Here is a 20,356-nt window from a genome sequence, read left to right on the forward strand (position 1 = left end):
TTTGCCATATCTCTCATTGCATTCTAGGTACCAGTGACTGAATTCATGTGCTCCGGTAAAGGTAGAGAGACAGATTCCTGTCACTTCCTACTCTGCTGTCTTCTTGATGTCACTCTTGAGGTTGAGTCTTCACAAGATAGTACCTGTCCTCCTAGGATTTACTGCCACCACCTCTCAAGGATTCTATGACAATGAATATAAATAGAATCAAATCTCAACATGGTTCCTGCTGTAGTTCCCCAAGGAATTGTTCACAGCAGCTTCAGGACTTGGCTAATATGTCCAAGGAGAACATGTCTGGGAATGGATCTTGAGGGAGCATTCGGACTTGTGGGGAAAAGATTGGGAAAGGAGGAGCAATGATTTGGAGACACTGTCCCATGACTCAGAATTTAGCGTCCTGGCAAGGACATCTGGAGCTGATGCTTGGAAAAATGATGGTCTTTAGTAAATGAAGTGGGGATGCCAGAACTTCCTCGGCAGAGTATTGAAGAATGAGTCAAAAGGCACGTGGAGGTGGGTATGATTGCATGAATTCATTATATGGACCAGCTTCTGTTGTTCTCCGGAGTGTCCAGAGGTCTTCCCATCATAATAGCAATAAGAAATGTGCTAGTGAGGTGGCACTGGCCTTGTTGGGAAGCTCAGTGGTGGTGACCTTTGTAGGCTGGAGTTCGTTGTAGGGGAAGTGGCTCTATTGAACCGGGCTCCATAGTGTCAATGGTGAGGATAGAATTTCAGAATAGCAGAGGACAGATGGCAACAATTAATCTTCAGTGGAAAGGTAGACATAATTCCTGTAATGGGAAGCAAAGCTGGAATGGTGACCAGGGGAACCTTTTCCACAGCGATCTGTGGTAATGGCCAATAGACCACGGCATTCCTATGGATGAGACTGGCAGCCAAGGAGGTCACTGCTTTGCCTTATACAAAATATGATCAAGAATGGGTGAGTTGAAGGCTGACGTCAGCTGGCACGATGAAAAATTACATTTTTTGCTCAGTTTCTAAATCTGAAATATTCTAAGACCCAGAGTCTGTGGATTGAAGACAGGTAGTTCCTTTTAAGGAGTGACTCTGCAGCACCATGGCAACTTTAGACAGTAGCAATTTCCTTCAATCCTTCTCCAAAGAGACACGTGGTCATTTACCAGAATAATTTTGTGCTGGGAAGAAGGGAGTCCATAGCTCTTTTGAGGGCTGTTAGATATAACATCTGAACTGATAATGCCATGGGACTCCTGATGCCACCATGACTGCTTTTAGAGTAGGGTCATATAGTGTCCAGGTTATAGGACATTGTGTGCCCCCTGTGCAAGGCCATGTCACAGTGGCAGAGATTAGCACCATTCTCCAGGACTAAAGGATGCAGGGGTGTCAATCCCCTTAACATTTCTTTTTAATTCATCAGTCTGACCCCTGCAAATCCAGTTAGGTCATGGTGGTTGATAGTGATCTATTATAATCTTAATTAAGTGGTAGCTCCAATCAAACAGCTGCTAGGCCCAGATGTTGCACCTTTACTAGAACAGACCTACAAAGCCTCTGACAATTGGTATACTATTTATCTGGCAAATTTGTTCTTTTCAGAAACTATTCCCTTGGAAGAGTCAGTATACATTCATGATATGGCCCCCGGCCTTTAATAATTATTCATTCTCTATCACAATACAGTCCAAAGGGTCCTTAATCATTTGGCTATTCTATAGAACAGGGATGAGCAAACCCAGATCTGTAGGCCAAATCTGGCCCGCTGCCTGTTTTTGTAAATAAAGTTTTATTCGAACAGACACACTCCTTTGCTTATGTACAGTAATGTCTATGGCCGCTTTCACTCTATGATGGCAGAGGTGAGTAGCTGTGACAATAAAATAGAGTATTTACAATCTGTTCCCTTACAGAAAATTTGCTGACCTCTGCTCTGGAACGTCAGGCTGCTCCCTATGTTGGTGAATCACGTTTGTCAGAGCTGGGGAGCAGAAGTGGTGAGTACGTTGGGTGCCTCGGTAAGACTCATGAATTCCAGAGGATGGAAGATAGACCTAGAAAAGATTCAGGGGCCTGCCACATTGGTGGAGTTTTTGGAGGGCTGGTGGTCTGGGCATGCTGAGGCATCCTTTTCAAGATAAAGCCATTAACTTATTCAAGCTTGCACCTCCTACCTCTATGAGACAGGCACAGCACTTGGTTAGGCCTCTTCTATTTCATAGACAGCAGATTCACTCATGAGAATACCACTGGATCCATTTATCAGGTGACTTGAAAGGCCGCGGCCGGGCGCGGTGGCTCACGCCTGTAATCCCAGCACTTTGGGAGGCCGAGGCGGGCGGATCACGAGGTCAGGAGATCGAGACTATCCCGGCTAAAACGGTGAAACCCCGTCTCTACTAAAAATACAAAAAATTAGCTGGGCGTAGTGGCGGGCGCCTGTAGTCCCAGCTACTTGGGAGGCTGAGGCAGGAGAATGGCGTGAACCCGGGAGGCGGAGCTTGCAGTGAGCCGAGATCGCGCCACTGCACTCCAGCCTGGGCGACAGAGCGAGACTCCGTCTCAAAAAAAAAAAAAAAAGAAAGAAAGGCCGCCAGTTTTGAGATGGGCCTCAAAGATCAGGAGGAGGCTTTGCAGTGAGTTCTAGCTGCCATACAAGCAGCTCGCTGCCTTGGGCCATGTGACTCATGCATTGGACATCATGGTGCTGGAGGTATCCATGTAGCTGAGTCTTCTACCTGCATTGAGAAGCAATGGTTGCCTGGCTGCGTGGTGTGGGGAAGGCTTCTCCAGGGGCCTGCTGGAGGGGGATTTCCTCTTTTTTAGGGGAAAGGATCTCTGTTGGGTATGGGGTACCAACAAGGGCTAAGATGTGAAGTGTAAGTAAAGGGCACATTGTATTACCATTTTGACCTGGTGGATGTCTTGAGTCTGTTCATAAATACAAATATTCAATAAATATCATGCATATATCAAGTTTTCTCATCAAGAAATTATTATTATCATTGAGACAGGGTCTCCCTCTATTGCCCAGGCTGGTGTGCAGTGGCATGATCATGGCTCACTGCAGCCTCGACCTCCCTGGGCTCAATTGATCCTCCCACCTCAGCCTCCCAAGTAGCTAGGACCACAGGTGTGCACCACCACACCTGGCTTTGCTTTGCTTTGCTTTCCTGTTTTTTTGAGATGGAGTTTCCGTCTTGTCACCCAGGCTGGAGTGTAATGGCATGATCATGACTCACTGCAGCCTCAACCTCCCTGGGTTCAATTTATCCTCACACCTCAGCCTCCCAAGTAGCTAGAACCACAGGTGTGCACCACCACACCTGGCTTATTTTTCTTTCTTCCTTTTTTTTTTTTTTTTTTGCAGGGTGGGGGAGGGGCGGAGTTTCCCTCTCGTTGCCTGGGCTGGAGTGCAATAGTGTGATCTCGGCTCATTGCAACCTCTGCCTCCCAGGTTCAAGTGATTCTCCTGCCTCAGCCTCCCGAGTAGCTGGGATTACAGGTCCCAGCCACCATGCCTGGCTAATTTTTGTATTTTTAGCAGAGACCATGTTGGTAAGGCTGGTCTCGAACTCCTGACCTCAGGTAATTCGCCCACCTTGGCCTCCCAAAGTGCTGAGGTTACAGGCTACAGGCATGAGCCATGGCACCTGGACTTATTTTTCTCTTTCTTTTTATTTATTTATTTGCATTTTTTGTAGAGATGGGGTTTTGCCATGTTGTCCAGGCTGGTCTTGAACTCCTGGGCTCAAGCAATCTTCCTGCCTTGGATACCCAAAGTGCTGGGATTACAGGCATGAGTCACTGCACCTAGCCAAGAAAGTGTTTTCTAATGCTAACTCTGGAGATTTGCTCAAATCAAGGTGACTTCCCTATCTGTCAGAATTTTAAGATTCATTTAATGACTGTGTTACTTTCTCCAGAGAGGGATAAGGAATTGGGCCATGTGGTCATGAAGTTTGAGAAGTCTCAAGATTTACAAGTTGGAGACCGTGGAGAGCTGATGATGTGTTGCGGCATGAGTCCGAAGGACCGAGCATTAGGAGAGCCGATGGTCTAATTTCCAGTTTGAGTCCAAGTCTAAAGGCAGGAAAAGACCAACGTCCCAATGACCATCAGGCAGAGCCAGTGAATTCTCTCTTACCCTGTCTTTTGTTCTAGTCAGGCCTTCAATGGCTTGGATAAGACCCACCCACATTGGGGAGGGCACTCTCCTTCATTCGGTCCACTACTGTAAATGCTAATCTCATCCAGAAATATCTGGAAACCCTGTGGCCCAGTCAAGTTGATATAGAAAATTAACCATTACAATGACAACGAGACAGAAACTGCAGGACACAAAGACTGGCATATGTCTTATCACGTGCCATGCCCAGACAAACTTGGGTTACAGAAGTTTTGTCAGATAATTTGTTTATGGCTATGTGCCAACATTTAATTACAATCTTGTATACTGGGAGAAGATCTCTAATAGGCCAATTCAAAGGTTTACTCTAGATAGGGACATTTCATGGGAAAGGTGAATTATTAGGGCAACAGTCCACAGAGCATGGTCCCTGGGTCAGCAACATGAGCATCATCTGGAAACTCGCTAGAAATACACCCTCAGACCCCACCCTATCCCTACTGAATAAAAAACTCTGGCGTAGGGACCAGAAATCTGTGTTTTAACAAGCTCTGCAGGTGATTCTGTTACATGCCACCGTTTGATAACTACTGAACTTGGTAATAATTGTTAGGCTAAATGTTTAAAGAAAAAGTCTGGTTCAACGTCACCAGCTTCCTAACCATCAGCAGTCAACCAAGAGGTGGAGGTTAGTAGGTAACTAGCTTATCAGAGCAAGTCGTAATCAAAGAGTCCATGAAGGAGTTTTTTGTTTTGTTTTGTTTTGTTTCAGAAATAGTAATTTCTCTCTAGAAGGAGGTTGTGAATTACAGGACATGGCTTGGATTTTTATTTTAGATGTTACCAGCATTGCTTTCATTGCTTCTGCTGGAAGGTGGCAATCTTCAAGGGTCTAAGTAATTCTTAGACCAATGAAGGGTCAAGGCTGGCCTTTTACAAATAACGGAGAAAGAGGGTGTCCATAGCCTACAGAACTTTCTCTCAGAACTTCTAGGTCAGTGCTGTTCTTTGGGAATCTAATATGAGCCACATATATAATTTAAAAATTTCTATTAATCACACAAGAGTAAAAAAAACAGGTGAAATGAATTGTAATATGTTTTATTTAACTTACCTTACTAAAAATATTTTCCATTTAACATACAATATGAAATTCATTAACGGATAGTCACATTTTTAAACGCCATATCTTCAAAATCTGGTGTTTGACAGCACATTTCAGTTCAAACTAGCTACGTTGCAAGGATTTAATAGCCCTATGTGGCTAGTGACTATTGTATGGAACATTATCGTTCTAGACCCTCTACTCCTGCAACTGGAAGGGGAGACCTGGTGCTTTTATTTATTTATTTACTTTTTCATTAAATAACTAAGGACAGAAGTTGTGGCTTGATGATGTAATTTACTTGTATGTTCCCTGGGGCTTAATTTCTTTAGTCATTCTGGGCATAAGTCCCTGTCCAGGCAATGCTATTAGACCTTATACAGAAACAAGCCTCTCCCTTCATATTTTAAAGCACTGTGAGATCTTGAAATGAAGCATGGAATTTGCATATTTTGTCCATTCTTCCTGAACCATACATCTAGGTATCTTATGCAAACAAACTAAAACAGAATGTTTTGATATGTCCTGTTTAGGAACTTATTGTCACAAATGTATTCACATTCTCTAATTGCATATGAAGAAAAAATCTTTTCATTTAGAAATTTAAGCCTGTAATCGATTTTCTCTGAGTGATTTCATTTTCCCTCCTTTCCCTTTTTCTTTTACTGAATTTTATTTGTAATTCACTACTTTCTATTACATTTTGCAACAAAGATTTGATTCAATATCCAGTGATTTTGCTCCTTTCAGGTTTAAACCATTTCTCCCATTGTCAGTTGACTTTCGTTAAACCGTTTCTCCCATTGTCAGTCTACTTTCGTGGTCATTATTTCTACAAAGTATATTTTTCCCAAGTGAAATTTTACATATGAACATTTGTCAGGAAGCTCTTTAGTCATTTTTACCAAGTAACAAATTTTACTTTTTTTTTCTTATCAAGATACTTTTTAAAGTTTTTATTTTAAGATCTTTTTTGTTTGTTTTCTTTCTTGAGATGGAGTATTGCTCTGTCACCTAGGCTGGAGTGCAGTGGTGCGATCTTGGCTCACTGCAACCTCTGCCTCCCAGGTTCAAGCGATTCTCATGCCTCAGCCTCCCAAGTAGCTGGGATTGCAGGCACGTGGCACTAAGCCTGACTAATTTTTTTTTTTTTTTTTTTTAGTAGAGACAGGGTTTCACCATGTTGGCCAGGCTGGTCTCAAACTCCTGACCTCAAGTGATCCACTTGCCTCAGCCTCCCAGTGTTGGGATTACAGGCTTGAGCCACCATGCCTGGCCAACATCATTTTAGACAGACAAGGTTGCAAAAATAGTAGAGTTCCTTTGAACCCTTCACCCAGTGCCCCCTTATATTAACCTCTTACATAACTGTAGTACAACTCTAATGGAGAAGTAATCTGTAAGGAAGTAAAAAGGGCACTGTACTATGAACTAAACTAGAAAGTTTATTCGTGTTTCACTGGTTTTTCCACTGATGCTCTTTTTCTGTCCCAAGATCTAATCCAGGATTTCACGTGACAGGAGTCATTGTCTCCTTAATCTGTGACAGTTCCTCAGTCTTCCTGTCTTTTGTGACCTTGAGACTTCTGAAGGGTACTGGTCAGTTACCTTGTAGGAATGTTCCTCCATTTGGGTTGTCTAATGTTTTCTCATAATGAGATTGTGCATTGTTGGGCAGGAAAACCTCCGGGGTGCTGCGCTCTTCCCAGCGCCTCCTCTGTCAACACGTTTCTGGAGAGGTAAACCTGGGTCACGTGGTTAAGGTGGTGATGCCAGTTTTGTTCACTGCAAAGTTACTATTTTTCCCTTTGTTATTGATAAACATCTATTTTGGGAGAGATGCTTTGAGACTATGCAAATATCCTGCTTCTCCTTAGGCTTTCCCAGCTAATTTTGCCACATCTGGGGACCCTGCCTGCAGCAATGATTGCAGTAGTGTTTCAGTGGTGATTTGCCAAGTCTCTCATTCCTTCCATATGTATTAATTGGAATTCTGCAAGAAAGAGTTGTCGGCCAGGCTGCAGTGAGCTGAGATCATGTCACTGCCCTCCAGCCTGGGCGACAGAGTGACATCTTGCCTCGAAGAAAAAAAAGAGTTGCCCTTTCCCCCCATTTAGTCACTCATTCAGTTATTTATTTATATGAATATAGACTAGAGGCTATTTGTTCTTATTTATTTTTTTATTTGGGTTTGTGATTTTAGCGCCAAAATCTCAACCGTGAAAATGGAGAGAAATTCTGAATATTATCACTCCCTAAGTTAGGACAGAAACTTACTTTGCAGACAGAAGCCAAAGGGTCTGAGGAGGACACAGGCTCACTGGGAGGACTGGAGAAGCAGCCTGAAGGGGCAGAAACCCAAGGCGGTCCTAGAGCCAGGAAGCCCTTGGCAGTGTCCCTGGGCGGGACTGGCCTCAGAGGGCCTCTGCTAGTGGGGACAGGATTTAAATCTCAGATAGTGTCTGCCCCTTGACTGAGGAGGGCGAGGACTGACGCCATTCACTTCAGCCTCTTTGCATGGGGAAGAGAGGAAGTGGATGCTAGGTAGCCAGAAAGCACCCACTTTTCAGTCCCTGGAATCCCCAAGAACAAAGCTTGAAGCTATGGTCTGTGACCCCGCCCGACCGGCCGCCATTCCCCAATGCAGACCAGAGGCAGTGTCAGCGGATCGCTCTACTCCGCAACGCTCCCACCTGTAATCCTGATGCAGGGCAGGTGAGCCCCAAAGTGGAGCTTCCACCAGGAGGGTTCTTGGCTTTGCCCAGGAAAGAATTCAAGGGCAAGCCAGAGGTAGAAGAAAACAGCTTTATTGAAGAGGCAGGGTTACAGCTCCGTGACTGCTCCTGCAGAGCAGGGCTCCCCCATAGGCAGAGAGGAGCAGCTCAGGGCAGTTTTGCAGTTTTATATATATATATATATATATATATATATATATATATATATATATATATATATATACACACACACACACACATACACACACACACACACACACACACACTCACACACACACACTTTTAATTGCATACAGATTAAGGGGCGGTTTATGCAGAAATTTCTAGGGAAGGGGTGGTAATTATTGGGTTACTGCCACGGAAAGGGGCGGTAACTCCCTGGTATTGACATGGCAACGGTAAACTGACGTGGCACCCTGGTGGTCCTATCTGTTGGAAAGCTGCTTTGGCCCTGACCTTGCTTTAGTTTGTCCTCAATCTGGTCTGGTGTCTGAGCCCCGCCTCCTACCTCAATCCCACTCAAGGTGAGCTTGATATCCTCTTCCATCCACCACCAAGTTTGTGGAGAACGGAAAATAGCTCCTCATGATATGATAAGGAGTATTACAAAGGGCAGCGAGGCAGGGACAGGTTGCCTGGGTCAGCATTCTGGTCCCCCGTGGCCTTGATCCCATCTCGTCACGTCTCTGGGGGTATCGTGGTCTCGGTAATCTCAAGTCTCTTGAGATGCCAAAAGTCTGAAACCCCTACCTCCGTGGGCAGTTCGGTAGACCGCAGAACCGTAGTCATTTTAGACTGCATTAATAACACTTCAGGCGGGGAGACTACGCTGAGCAGAATGCACGGTGATCATGACCTAGTCGACATATTTCAAGGGCGCCAGAGGCAGAGCCATCTTCAGGGATCAAGTCAAGGGAGAAGCTGAAGAAAACGGGGCCTGGCTAGCCCGCTAAACAAAACGAGACAGATTTCACAAAATCACAGATTGTTAATGTCAGAAGACACCTTAGAGTTGTTTCTCCCAAACCGAAGGCGCCTGCAAGTCACTTGGGGATCCTGTTAAAATGCAGATTCCCTGGTTCGGTAGGTCTGGAGTGGGGGCTGCTTTGTCCAGAGACCACACCGTGGGTCCAACCTTCACAGCACACTGGAATCGCTTTAAGAGCTTAAAAAAATACTTAGGTCTGGGCTTCTCTATCCCCGTCCCCCCCAGCCCCGGAGATTCTGTCATTTGGTCCGGGGGCAGCCTGGGCGTTTGGAGGTTAAAAAGCTCCCAGGTGATTGCAATATGCAGCGGAGTTTGAGAACCAGCGCCTTGGACCCAGCTTCTTAAGCTACTGCGCGCACCGGCGTCCCGCTGGGGGCGCGCGAGCCCCACCCCCAGAGATGCTGACTCAGCAAGTCGGGAGGGGTTGGGGGTGGGACCTGCCAATCTGCATTTCCAACCGGCGCCCAGGTGACGCTGACTCTGCTGGTCTACCGTCTTGGGGGTCACCTAATTTTTCAGCGATGCCTCCCAGCTGGGGAGGCCAAGAAGTGCCTCGCTCAAGGTCTTCCAACACCCGACCTCCAGACCCTCAATCCTGGGCCAGCTACACCGCAAACCTTTCCAGCTGTCTCTCCTGCGCCCTGCGTTTCTTCCCCACGTCACTTGCCAGGGAGCCGCTAAACAGCAAGACCGCGCGCTCTGCGGCTCCAGAGTGCGGATTTCGGTCGCGTGCGGCTCTGACCGCGTCGCCCCATCCCTGGCGGGGCCACGCACGGACGCCATGGCTGGCGCCGCGGAGCCGGGCGATGCGCGCGGACTCTCCCGGGGCCCTGACTGTCCCTGAGTCCTCCCTGCGGGGGGCGTGCGCGGCCCGCCCCCCGCGGCGCCACGCGGCCCCTCCTCGGCCGGGGATTGGTGCGCCGGGCGGGGCGGGGCGGGGCGGGATAAAGGCGCGGGGTCTGGCTGCGCGGGGTCTGCGGGCAGCTCCAACTCTGGGTTCGTAGTTTGCGCTGGGTGCGCAGGAAGGTCAGTGTGGGGGTCGCCCGACATTTCCCCCCCGCGGAGGTGGGAGCCGAGCCACATCTTGGAGTGGGGACTGGCCGCGGAGCGGGTTGCCCAGGGCCGGCCGAGGTCGGGGCGAGCCCTGCGCGGCGCTGGAGACTCTGCATTCCCGGGCGCGCGCAGGGTCCCCGGCCGTGGTCGCAGAGTCAGGAGGGGCGGCTCCGGAGCCCGGCGCGGGGAGGGCCCAGGCGCAGTCGGGGTTGGCAGGGCGCGACACTCGCTCCCCTCCACTTTTGAAAGGGCTTCCCACGCCGAGAAGAGGGGCGGGCATGGCCGGCCCGGCGAAACCGGTTTGTACAGACTTTGGGAAGCCATCGCCTGCGGAGGGTGGGACCCCACAGCTTGTCCACCTGCCCAGGCTGAGACCTCGTGTCCTAGTCCTGGATGCCCCACGGGTTTCTCGTCCCGGGCAGCGGCGCACGGGAGGAGAAGACTCCCGGTCTGCAGTCAGACCTCCCTCTGAGACCCTCCCTAGCTCAGGCTTAGAGCTTTGGGATTTTTCTCGATCCTTTCTAGCTTTCAGATCATCCCCACGTAAAGTTCAGACTTTACCAGCCCAGAGAGTTTAAAAAAAAAAAAAGAGAGAGAGAGAAAGCGAATGTGGATTGAGCCTTTACACTGACCGCGCAGTTTGCACAGTGCTTTTCATAGATTGACTGCTTTTATTAAACGCTCTCAACAGTCTATTAGGATGGCATGGTGATTGCCCCCTTTCTGAGGACGCGGAAACTTGAGATTTGGCGAGGCAAGAAGCCAGGCGCACACAGCTAGGCGGGCCGCGGGCCGCGACCCCCTGGCTGGTCCGTGCTCTCCCCCTGGGGAGGGGTGCAGGCTGCCAGGAAAGGTGCCCCCTGCGTGGCCCTGGGGGTGTTTCTTCCTCTTTGTCTCTTCTTAGGCATCTGATCTCATCTCTTAAGTGGGAAGAGTCGGGGTGGTGGAAGTAGAGGGTATGGGACACGGTGGACCTACCTCACTTGGTAGTTAGTAACTGCCTCACCTTGGGCGGGTCAGTGGATTCTGAACAATGGGGAAAAGGTCCCAGCTTCAGGGTTGCTGTGAGGGTTTAAGAAGAGTTCAGGAAAGCAGATGCTTCACCAACGCTCCGTAGTTACCAGGCGCCTGATTTTTCCTTGGATCATTACTATTAAGAGGATGCATTGGTGATGATGATGATGTAATGAGTCAGAGGTTTTAAAGCCCAGACTGCCTTGAAAATGCGTCTGGTAAACCTTCTTGCTCCTTAAAGCAGAATAAGATTGGAGTGGGGGAACGCAGTGAAAATGAAGGTGGGCATGGACATATAAGTATTAAGTTAGAAGTGGGGAGGGGGCAGGGGGCATTGGCGCCAGGAAGTTGTAAACTGGGCAATTATCACCCAGTCCAGAGCAGGGAAGGCCCGTTGTGAGGGGCTAGGCATGAAGGTACCAGCAGCGTACATGCTCCTGCAGACCCCTGAGGCTGGAAGGAAGGAGCGGGCAGTGGGAGAGTAATAGGTTTAAGCACGTTTGCAAGTGGAGGCGGAGAGAGGACAAGGGCTGGGGGGGTTGGAGTTTGCTGGGTCTCTGGGGGCAATATTGATCTATGTTAGGCGAGTTTTCTCACTCTTCAGATACATATATACATATATGCATGCAGGTCACTTCTTGGTGCTGAACACTGTAAAACTTTTTCTCTATTGTAGGTTGTAGTTGTGATTCCTATCACGTAACATTAGATTTACCATCCTAAACAGTTCTAAGCATACTGTTCAGTAGCGTTAAGTATATTCACGCTGTTGTGCAGTCAATCTCCAGCGCTTGTTCATCAAACTGAAACTCTGCGCTAATTAAACACTAATTTCTCTGCCTCTACCCCAGCCCTTGGCAGCCAGTCACCTTTCTGCTTTATGTTTCTGTGAATTTTTGAGTGCTTTAAATAATGCACGTCAGTGGAGGCATACAGTGTTTGTCCTTTGGTGACTGGTTTATTTCACTTAGCCTAATGACTTTGAGCTTCACTCATGTTGTAGCCAAGTGTCAGAATCACCTTCTTTTTTAAGGCTGAAAAACTTCCATTGTATTTGTAGACCCTATTTTCTTTACCCGTTCATCTATTGGAGGCTGGATATCTTAGTTTCCCGCTTAATTGTTAAAGACATTACTTAATACATCTTTTACTATCTCCATCCCTAAGAGTAATTACAGCCAGAAATGTTAGGAGATCTCATGACAGCAAGAACATTGAGGAAAACTGATGTTGCGTATCTAGTCGCCTTCGGTATTATGGGTGGAAGTTTCCTTAATATCTAAAAAATTATCTATTTTTAGAGCAATCATAGTTGAATTAAGTCCCCTCCCCACCCCCCACCGCCACACCCCAATAAACTGAAGTAACTTTTTTCCCCTGAGAACAGGATCATTTGATTTTTTGAGATGTAAACCTCTGATGGTTTCCCCTTACTGTCTGCCTCTTAGACACAGCGTTGAGTGAGTACGAACACGCTTCACAACTTCCCGGGAGAGGCACCTAAACCCAGCAGGTCCACAACCAAACTCACTTGTCTTCTCACCTGACCTGCTGCTTCTCTAGAAAGCCCATTCTTGCAGCGCCCAAATTAGAGACCTTCATATTCTTGACACCTTCACCACCCACCCATGTGGAAGCAATCACTCAAGCCAGCTGAGCCATGAGTCAGTATCTGTATCGCCCCCTCATTTCCAGATGGCGCTGCTGTGTGACTGCTGCTGCTGTTAATGCAGATAAGTGGATATGCAGGGGCATGGAAGAAGTCATGACCTTCCATGACCAACCCAGAGAGGCCCAGGTTGGGAAAGTGCTTCATTATTTGTGGAGAAGACTATGTTAACCTTTTCCTGTTTGTCCCTTGCAATGAAAGTAAACAAGGTGCTTGGGAAAGAAAGTATGGGCTATCATTTGGTCTTTAGGTAGGAGGGACTGAAAATCATCTTTGATGGCTTTCTCTATGTAAATTTAGTATGTAGCTTGGCAAAGAAAGTTTTACTTCAGAACAACTGCTCTCCAATTGTAATCTGGGGAACTGTGGAGGATCCCTGAAACCTTTTGTAGGGTCCATGAGGACAAAACTATTTTTGAAAAGAATACTAAGGTGTTATTTACCTTTTTCATTCTTTCTCTCACAAGTGTGCAGTGAGTTGCCCAGAGATTACATGACTTGCAAAGAGCTTTGCCTGTCATGACTAATGGGATTTGTGCTTGTGTATTCTTCTGTTTCTCAGTCTTCTAAGGTGTTAGGGTTAGGATAAAAGTATCTGCATTTTCAGAGATGAACTCAATTTGCACTTAGTATTTCTACTGTGCACTCACTGGCTGTCTTCACTTAGACCTGTTATATCTGTGACCTCATTTTCTTTTAATAAGTTATTAATTTGAAGTCCCAGAGTTTTCTGTGCCTATATGAAAACACAACAAAAAGTACACTCTGTAGTCTTGATTGGAAAGCCTTTCTAAAATTTCAAATGGTATAAAATTATTTTTGAATGTAATATTTTATTCTAAAATAAAAGGATATTTGTGTATTTTTGTATTTAAGGATAGATTATTGGCTTAACAGGGGGATATTAGAAAAGTTGATTTTTTTCAGCTCCCAGGTGCACTACCTATGCCTAAAACGCTGAAAAAATGAAATGAATATGTCAGAGTTTCTGAATCATGAAAGGGAGGAATTTACTCCAGAGAAATGGGCAAAACTAAGGCAAGGTGAAAGCTTTCCTCAGCTTTATAGCTGTTAGTAATTGGTCTTATGAATCTTATGCCAGAGAACCATTTTCAATGGTATTATGGTGCCAGTAGCATGATTTTGAGACCAACCATTCAGAGTCCTCTAAAGAAAAATGAATTGAATCGTTTAAGTGTGGATGTAATGAGCTTTTTAAAAGCCAGAAATTTTTGTCATAGCTTTTCAAACTGAAACCGACAAAGTTGAAGCATAAAGCAGGGTAAATTATCAAGTTGCGTTGGTCGCAGAAACACACGATAAAGGCTTGTTTAGATGAAAAAGCATTGAAAGAGCTCATAGCACTTCAACTTTCCAATGATACAGTAATCTGCCAAATTAAAGATTTAGCTGAAACGTGAAGACCCAGTTAGTATATTGACTGTAGAAGTGTATTTCTGCCTTACAAATGGAAGAAAGACTAGAGGTGCCATTTTGCTTGTATTCTTCTGGTATCAGCACCAAACCAATCAATACCTTTTTAGATAATCTTTTTATTGTAATATGTAATACAATATACAATCCTTTATCTTTACAATAGAGAGTATCTTTTTAGTGAATGCTTGGTAGCAAACATGAGTAGTGCTGAGATATTCAAAGTGTTGAATAACTTTTTTGAATTTAGTGGTTCATTCTGGAACAAGTGCATTGAATTTGCATTGATGGTGCCAGAGCAATGCTGGGTAAAACTCCTGGTGCCTTTGTGCAAATCAAGGCAGATGGTACCAGGCTGTTCTAGTCGTCACTGTATTCTTTACTGCCCTGTGCTTTCAATAAAAAATAAGAGAAAATTGCCAGCCTGACTTAAGAATGTCCCGATGAAACAGTAAAAATGACTGTCTGGATTAAATCTTGACTTCTGAGTATGCATCTCTTTGATATGCTGTATAGTGTAGGAAAGTGCCCATAAAGCATTCTGTGACATATTTCAAAGTGTGATGGTTGTCTTCAGGTAAAGCAGTGTGTGATTGAATTGTGAGCTGAACTGGCCACTTTTCTTAATAGAAAACCATTTTTGCTTGACAGACTGACAAACAATGAGTATTCATACTTGGATCATTGCCAGACATATTCTAAAACATGAACGAAGTGAGCCTGTCACTTCAAGGAAACAACTAACAGTGTTTGTTGCCAATTAATTTCTATTTACCACCATGAGCTTGACAGCTTCCCCATACTTAGGAATTTTCTGATGAGACCAGTGGTGATATTACCTAGTAGGACTTTTTAATATTATATAGTGAAGTGTGTTAATATTTGGACAATGTGCATAAGTTGCTGAACCAATAATTATTTTATATTACAATGCAATAATAATAGAAATAAAGTACACAATAAATGGAATGTGCTTGAATCATCCCGAAACCACCCCCTTTCCTCCCAGTCCACGGAAAATTGTCTTCCGCAAAACTGGTCCCTGGTGCTAAAAAGGTTGGAGACCATTGCTTTAAAGCATTAAAGTAAGTTTTAATGTAGAAAAGTACAAAAAGTTCATTGATAAGGTTTCAGATTCTGCATCACAACTAACCTTTAAGAAGACTGATGCATTCAGTTTTGGAGTGGTAGCAAAGATAAACATCCAGAGTTATTTGAAAAAATGAATAAAATACCATTTCCTGTTTTCACTGCTGTTTGGATTTTTTTTCAATTAGAGCAACAAGTTACAGAAGCAGATATGAAAATCCAGTTTTTTTATTTTATCAAAGAGAAGTATAAAGTTTAAAATAATGGCACTCCTTCCACTGAATATTTTTTGTATTGGAAAACTGTTTGTTTGTTTGTTTGTTTGTTTTTGAGATGTAGTCTTGCTCTGTCTCCCAGGCTGGAGTGGAGTGCAGTTTCACCATCTCGGCTCACTGCAACCTCCACATCTCCGGTTCAAGCAATTCTTCTGCCTCAGCCTCCCGAAAATATAGTTATTTTCATAATGATGTTTATGTTAACATGTTTATCGGTTTTAAATGAATTAATAAAGGTGTTAAACATTTATTTGTTTTCTAACACTAAATATTAATAGATATAACCAACATTAACAGTAGCTTTTTGGAGTTCTCCATTTTTAAGAGTATAAAGGAGTTTTAAGATCAAAAAGTTAGAGAACTTCTGCCTGAAGAGTATTAAGTTTAACTTGGCAGGAGTAAGAGGAAAAGCTACATGCTGTAGATGGTTGGAGGGTTTTTAAATTTATTTTTGTTTTTAATACCTATGTATTGTTAAAGCGATTCTGTAATAGAGGCAGTATTGCTGCGCGGTGGTTAAGAAGTAGGTTTTCTAGGGGAGTGGTGCTTGCGGTAGTGCTGTGAAGCACTCACCAGCTTTTGGCATATAAACAGCAAAAAATATTAGGTACTTATAATAGTGGAATAAGAAGAACCAACTCCATTACGAACTGTCCGTGTTGTTGAACTAAAACTTCACATTCAATTAACAATTTGTTGGGTGCCTCCTTCATGCTTTCCCTTTGTGGAGAAAGAGATGAATACATTTGTACCTGTTTTATATCTTTAGGGTTTCCTTTCCCCCGCAGTTCCAGTCTTTTCAATTTTTAAATTAAAAAAAAAAAACAAAAGCCTTTTTAACTGTGACCATTCATTATTTTGCTTTCGGGAATTGGAATTGTCTTTCAGTCTCGAATGTTCTGGGAAATGTTGTCTCTGGGCTTCCTCAATATCCCTTTGCACTTGCTGAAATAAGTGACTGTAAGAATCCAAGTTGTTGGCTGGGCGCGGTGGCTCACACCTGTAATCCCAGCACTTTGGGAGGCCGAGGTGGGTGGATCACGAGGTCAGGAGATTGAGACCATCCTGGCTAACATGGTAAAACCCTGTCTCTACTAAAAAAAATAAAAAAAAACAAAATTAGCTGGGCGTGGTGGCGGGTGCCTGTAGTTCCAGCTACTTGGGAGGCTGAGGCAGGAGAATGGCGTGAACCCGGGAGGCAGAGTTTGCAGTGAGCCGAGATCGCGCTACTGTACTCCAGCCTGGGCGACAGAGCGAGACTCCGTCTCAAAAAAAAAAGAAAAAGAATCCAAGTGCTTACCTGGTTTCAGGTGCCAGCAGTGGCTACAGTTAGTGTTCCTGTAAGGGTTGCTTGAGGAAAAGCTCAGGCCTTTCCCGTAATGTGGCCCATCCTGGACACCTGCCTCATCACTTTGGGCCTGTGCAGTAAAAGCAGAGATGTGCCATGGTGAGAAGGTTCTCTTCTACTCGCTTATTTGAGAACATTAGCTGGGGTGAAGGGCCTTAGGTGTCTTATAGATGCTGGGCACCTGGTGGGTCCAGTCACTAACCCCACAGAAGCCACCAGGCAGGTTCCACCTGTCTTGTCTTGGAGTAGTAAAGAGCAAAACCCTCATGACCCAGAAAGGTATGAAAAGGCGTATGTTTTGAAAAGACACTATTTTCCTTTTGTTTTCTGTAATTTGGGTTTTGGTATGATTAGGGATTGCAAGAAAGCTTCTGCTACTTCCGGCATTTAACTTGGAATCACTGTCTTAAATCTACTTGAGGCACTGAGTACCTTCCTGTAAGTTCATATCTTACAGGAAATGTCTCTAACTGTGGTTTGTTTACTTTTTTTCCCTTTATAATGCAGAATAGAAGATGGTTGAGGGGACTGGACACCTGAATTGGCTTTGAAGCTCACCTGCCTTTTCTGTTGGAAGAGACTTCCTCTTCCAGGGGGCGAGTGAGTAGAGGCCACAGGTCAGTGTGAGTATGTGGTAGGCCTGCCTGTAGGGAGGGTGGGGGGGTTGCTGTTAGAACCAGCAAAGCAAGCTGGGCAGCTCTGGTTTACTCTCAAGACATGCCTGCCTGGGTGCTGGGGACCCGTTGAAGAACATGGCAGTCTGAAGCCATATGTGACTGGACCATCTTGACCTCTAAGGCCAGGGCTGATTTCATGGTCAGCTGGTACTATTGAAGCTGATGAGGAGGAGGAGGTAGACTAAATTAAATTATGTGATCTTTGAAACAATAAGAAAATGACTTTTCTACGTGACCCTCTCTACAGAGATGATGGAAAAACAAAAATCCTTCACAGCTTACTAAATATTGCTGCGGGACTTTTTATCCTTTTATCTTAACCCTCTGCTTTTCTAGGCTGGTTCATCATAACGTGAGTGTTAACACAAGATTTACAGGGCACTTTGTATTTAATCTGGGACCCATTTGTATCCTCAGACGTTGTGTGGACAAGTTGATAACAGTTGCAGTCAAGACTTAAAGCCTTTGCTAGGATCCACCGACTTTGTCTCTGTGATATGCGCGTTCTCTGTGCAGTTACCGCCTCTTTTGCATTAGATCCCAGCTGGTGTCAGCGTTGTGCGGTGTCAGTTCTGAATCTCAGTTTGGCCTTTGTTTGGCTGGACTCTGTGTGAGCAACACTTTATCCCTTTATCACAGGGCCTGGCTCACAGGAGGCCCTTGACTGGCTTCCTATCGGCGAACTCAGCAGTCTCTTTAGTTCGATTCCTGAATCTAAAAGCATAGCTTTAAAAAAATAAAATAAAATAAAAGCATAGCTTTGCTCATTCGCTGACAATCTTAGCGTTCATTTTAGCTGAAGAGTTTGTTTTGAAGAGCTGGAGGGATAAAAGTTCACATCTTTAACTCTGCTCTTTTCTCACAAGGTATTTGAAAAGAAAATGCTGTTCATTAGGATGCTGAGGCGAGCGGGGCAGAGCCCAGCCTGTGGCTGTTGGACGCCTGTCCTGCCGGTCCGCTTTCTGGGCATCTCCCCTCGGCAAATTCCAGCAGATGCTAACTTCCACTCTGCGTCTTTCTCTGACACAGACCATCCACGAGTCTTAATTACAGGTTAGTTTTTCTTTTCTTTTTTCTATTTGCATGGCTTGATTCTTTCCTGTGCTATGTGTCTGTGCCTTTGCTTTTGGAATGTGTAATATGCTATCTGAACCATACTGCCTGTCTCTGTAGCCGATAATGCAGCAAAAACAGGCTTGGCCAGATGACAGAATCTGGATCTATTCTCTATACTATGAAAAGGATTTCAGAATGAGGTATTTTATAATACAAAAGTTTTAAATTAGAGCAGCTGATCTTATTGATCAGACACTGTCTTTTTCACTATTGGCTTTTTTGTTTGTTTCTTAGAATTTTGCAAATCCAAATCCTTATTTCATCACTGTTGCCAGCACTTGGTTTTGCCTGCCGTAATTTTTGTTGTTGTTCGAAGGAATCTAGGAAACTGGGGGCCAAATAGCTGCTCTGGAACTTGGTTTCCTTCCATATTAGGATCAGTCTGGGGAGTGAAGGCTAGTGGACAGGAGGGTGCTGGGGCTAGAACATTGATTCTGGTGTTAGGCACGCTGTTCCTTGGCCAGAGTCCTGAACCTAAACTCAGAGTCATTAATCCCAAACTGTTATTGCACATTTGCATGTTGGAAATAGAGAAGGTAAGTTAGCGTCTGGTCAAGGGACTTGTTGCTGCAGTGTTCATTGTTGTCCTCGAGCCCATCATGGCCCTTGAGCTCATTGTTGCCATTGAGGTCATCATTGCCAGTGACTCGCTCCCTGAACCTCCTCACCTCAAATATGTTCAGCCCCTGATTTTGTATCCTTCTCACTCCAGACTTTACTCTGTCACTTCCAGCCAGCCCAAACCTACCTCCAGTTTGATGGACATGTTTTACTTCTTTCTCTTTCTTGCCAGGCTTTCTTCCCTTGGTTTTACAGCATTATCCTTCTCATTTTCGTGTGTCTGTGTGTGTGTGTACTCTTTGACTGCCTTGTCCACTTCTGGTGCTGAAATAAGTTTCAAGCTTAGTAGATGTCCCTCTCTGCCTTTCCTCGGATTCACCCATCGTGTTGTCCGAGTGTTTGTTTTATTCCCTCTCACCTCCCCTAATGATGCATCTTTCAGGGTGTCCTGGTTTTATTCCCAAGTTAACAAATGGTTACAGGAAGTCCCACTTTTATATCTTCCTGCCTCATCAGTTTCTCTCAAATGAAATGGACTGTTGTCCTTACCCAAATGTGCTCCTAGCCCACTGGCCTCCCGTTTCTATCAGTGGCATGTTTAATTCTTCAAACTAGAAGCTGCACTATTCACTTTAACTTTCTCAGTGGTGCCTTGTTGATTCAGTTGTCTGCCCCTTTTTCAAATGACTTCTTGGTTTCTCCCTGCCTCTTTTCCCTTTCATATCCCAGTCCACTTCTAATGGAGGATGGGATTCTGCCTCATGTCACCAGAGGTGGATATGAATCTGTTCATACTGGTTTTGAATGATTTTGTCACCCATAGCAGATAAGCTTCAAAGTTCATGAAAATAATGAAGGCCAAGATTGAGTTCCTGCCCCAAGAAATTCCAGACCTGTGTCTGGCTTTCATGAGATTTTTCTCTTCTAATGCCCTTGCTTCTCCTCTTTCTCGGAACCACTCCATGCTGGTAAGTGTTGTCTCTGAAACGAATGTTACCTGTATTGGTCTCTGTCCTAGCATGGGGGAGATCATTGCATTTCTAAGCGCTGCACCACGTTCCTGGGAAGATTGGAAGTAAGCAGCAGTTATATCAGTGCAACCTAGGACTTACGTAGTTAGCTAAGACTGAAAACTAGTCTCACTCAGTTATTACATTCTGGGAATAATTGAACTG

General features: G+C 45.0%; 1 protein-coding gene, 1 long non-coding RNA gene and 1 pseudogene across 3 annotated transcripts in view, besides 2 other annotated features; 2 read left to right on the forward strand and 1 right to left on the reverse strand.

Moving 5' to 3' along the window:
* The window catches only part of MTMR9 (myotubularin related protein 9), a 54,711-nt gene extending 52,919 nt beyond the window's left edge, over positions 1-1,792 (forward strand). Inside the window, exon 11 of the mRNA XM_047422125.1 lies at positions 28-1,792. The gene's annotated coding sequence lies outside the window, so the exon portion shown is untranslated. The remainder of the gene's footprint in view (positions 1-27) is intronic.
* A 110-nt stretch (positions 1,793-1,902) lies between these two features.
* TDH (L-threonine dehydrogenase (pseudogene)) overlaps positions 1,903-20,356 on the forward strand; it is a 28,816-nt pseudogene continuing 10,362 nt past the window's right edge. The window contains exons 1-2 of the transcript NR_001578.1: positions 1,903-1,985; positions 18,371-18,557. The product of NR_001578.1 is annotated as an L-threonine dehydrogenase (pseudogene) (transcript). The remainder of the gene's footprint in view (positions 1,986-18,370; positions 18,558-20,356) is intronic.
* TDH-AS1 (TDH antisense RNA 1) lies at positions 8,014-9,782 on the reverse strand. Its single transcript, NR_147705.1, has 2 exons — positions 9,563-9,782; positions 8,014-8,906 (listed from the first exon to the last, which is right to left on the reverse strand). It is a non-coding gene; the product is annotated as a TDH antisense RNA 1 (long non-coding RNA).
* Positions 9,472-10,095: an enhancer, noted in NCBI's record as "H3K27ac-H3K4me1 hESC enhancer chr8:11204715-11205338 (GRCh37/hg19 assembly coordinates)". NCBI's record gives its function as "activates a minimal SCP1, AML or CMV promoter by ChIP-STARR-seq in naive H9 embryonic stem cells {active_cell/tissue: H9 hESC(naive)}" and the evidence as "EXISTENCE:reporter gene assay evidence [ECO:0000049][PMID:30033119]".
* Positions 9,650-9,929: a silencer, noted in NCBI's record as "silent region_18928". NCBI's record gives its function as "represses an Ori minimal core promoter by ATAC-STARR-seq in GM12878 lymphoblastoid cells {active_cell/tissue: GM12878}" and the evidence as "EXISTENCE:reporter gene assay evidence [ECO:0000049][PMID:35858748]".

The sequence above is a fragment of the Homo sapiens genome, chromosome 8 (assembly GCF_000001405.40).
Source record: "Homo sapiens chromosome 8, GRCh38.p14 Primary Assembly".
Classification (NCBI taxonomy): Eukaryota; Metazoa; Chordata; class Mammalia; order Primates; family Hominidae; genus Homo; species Homo sapiens.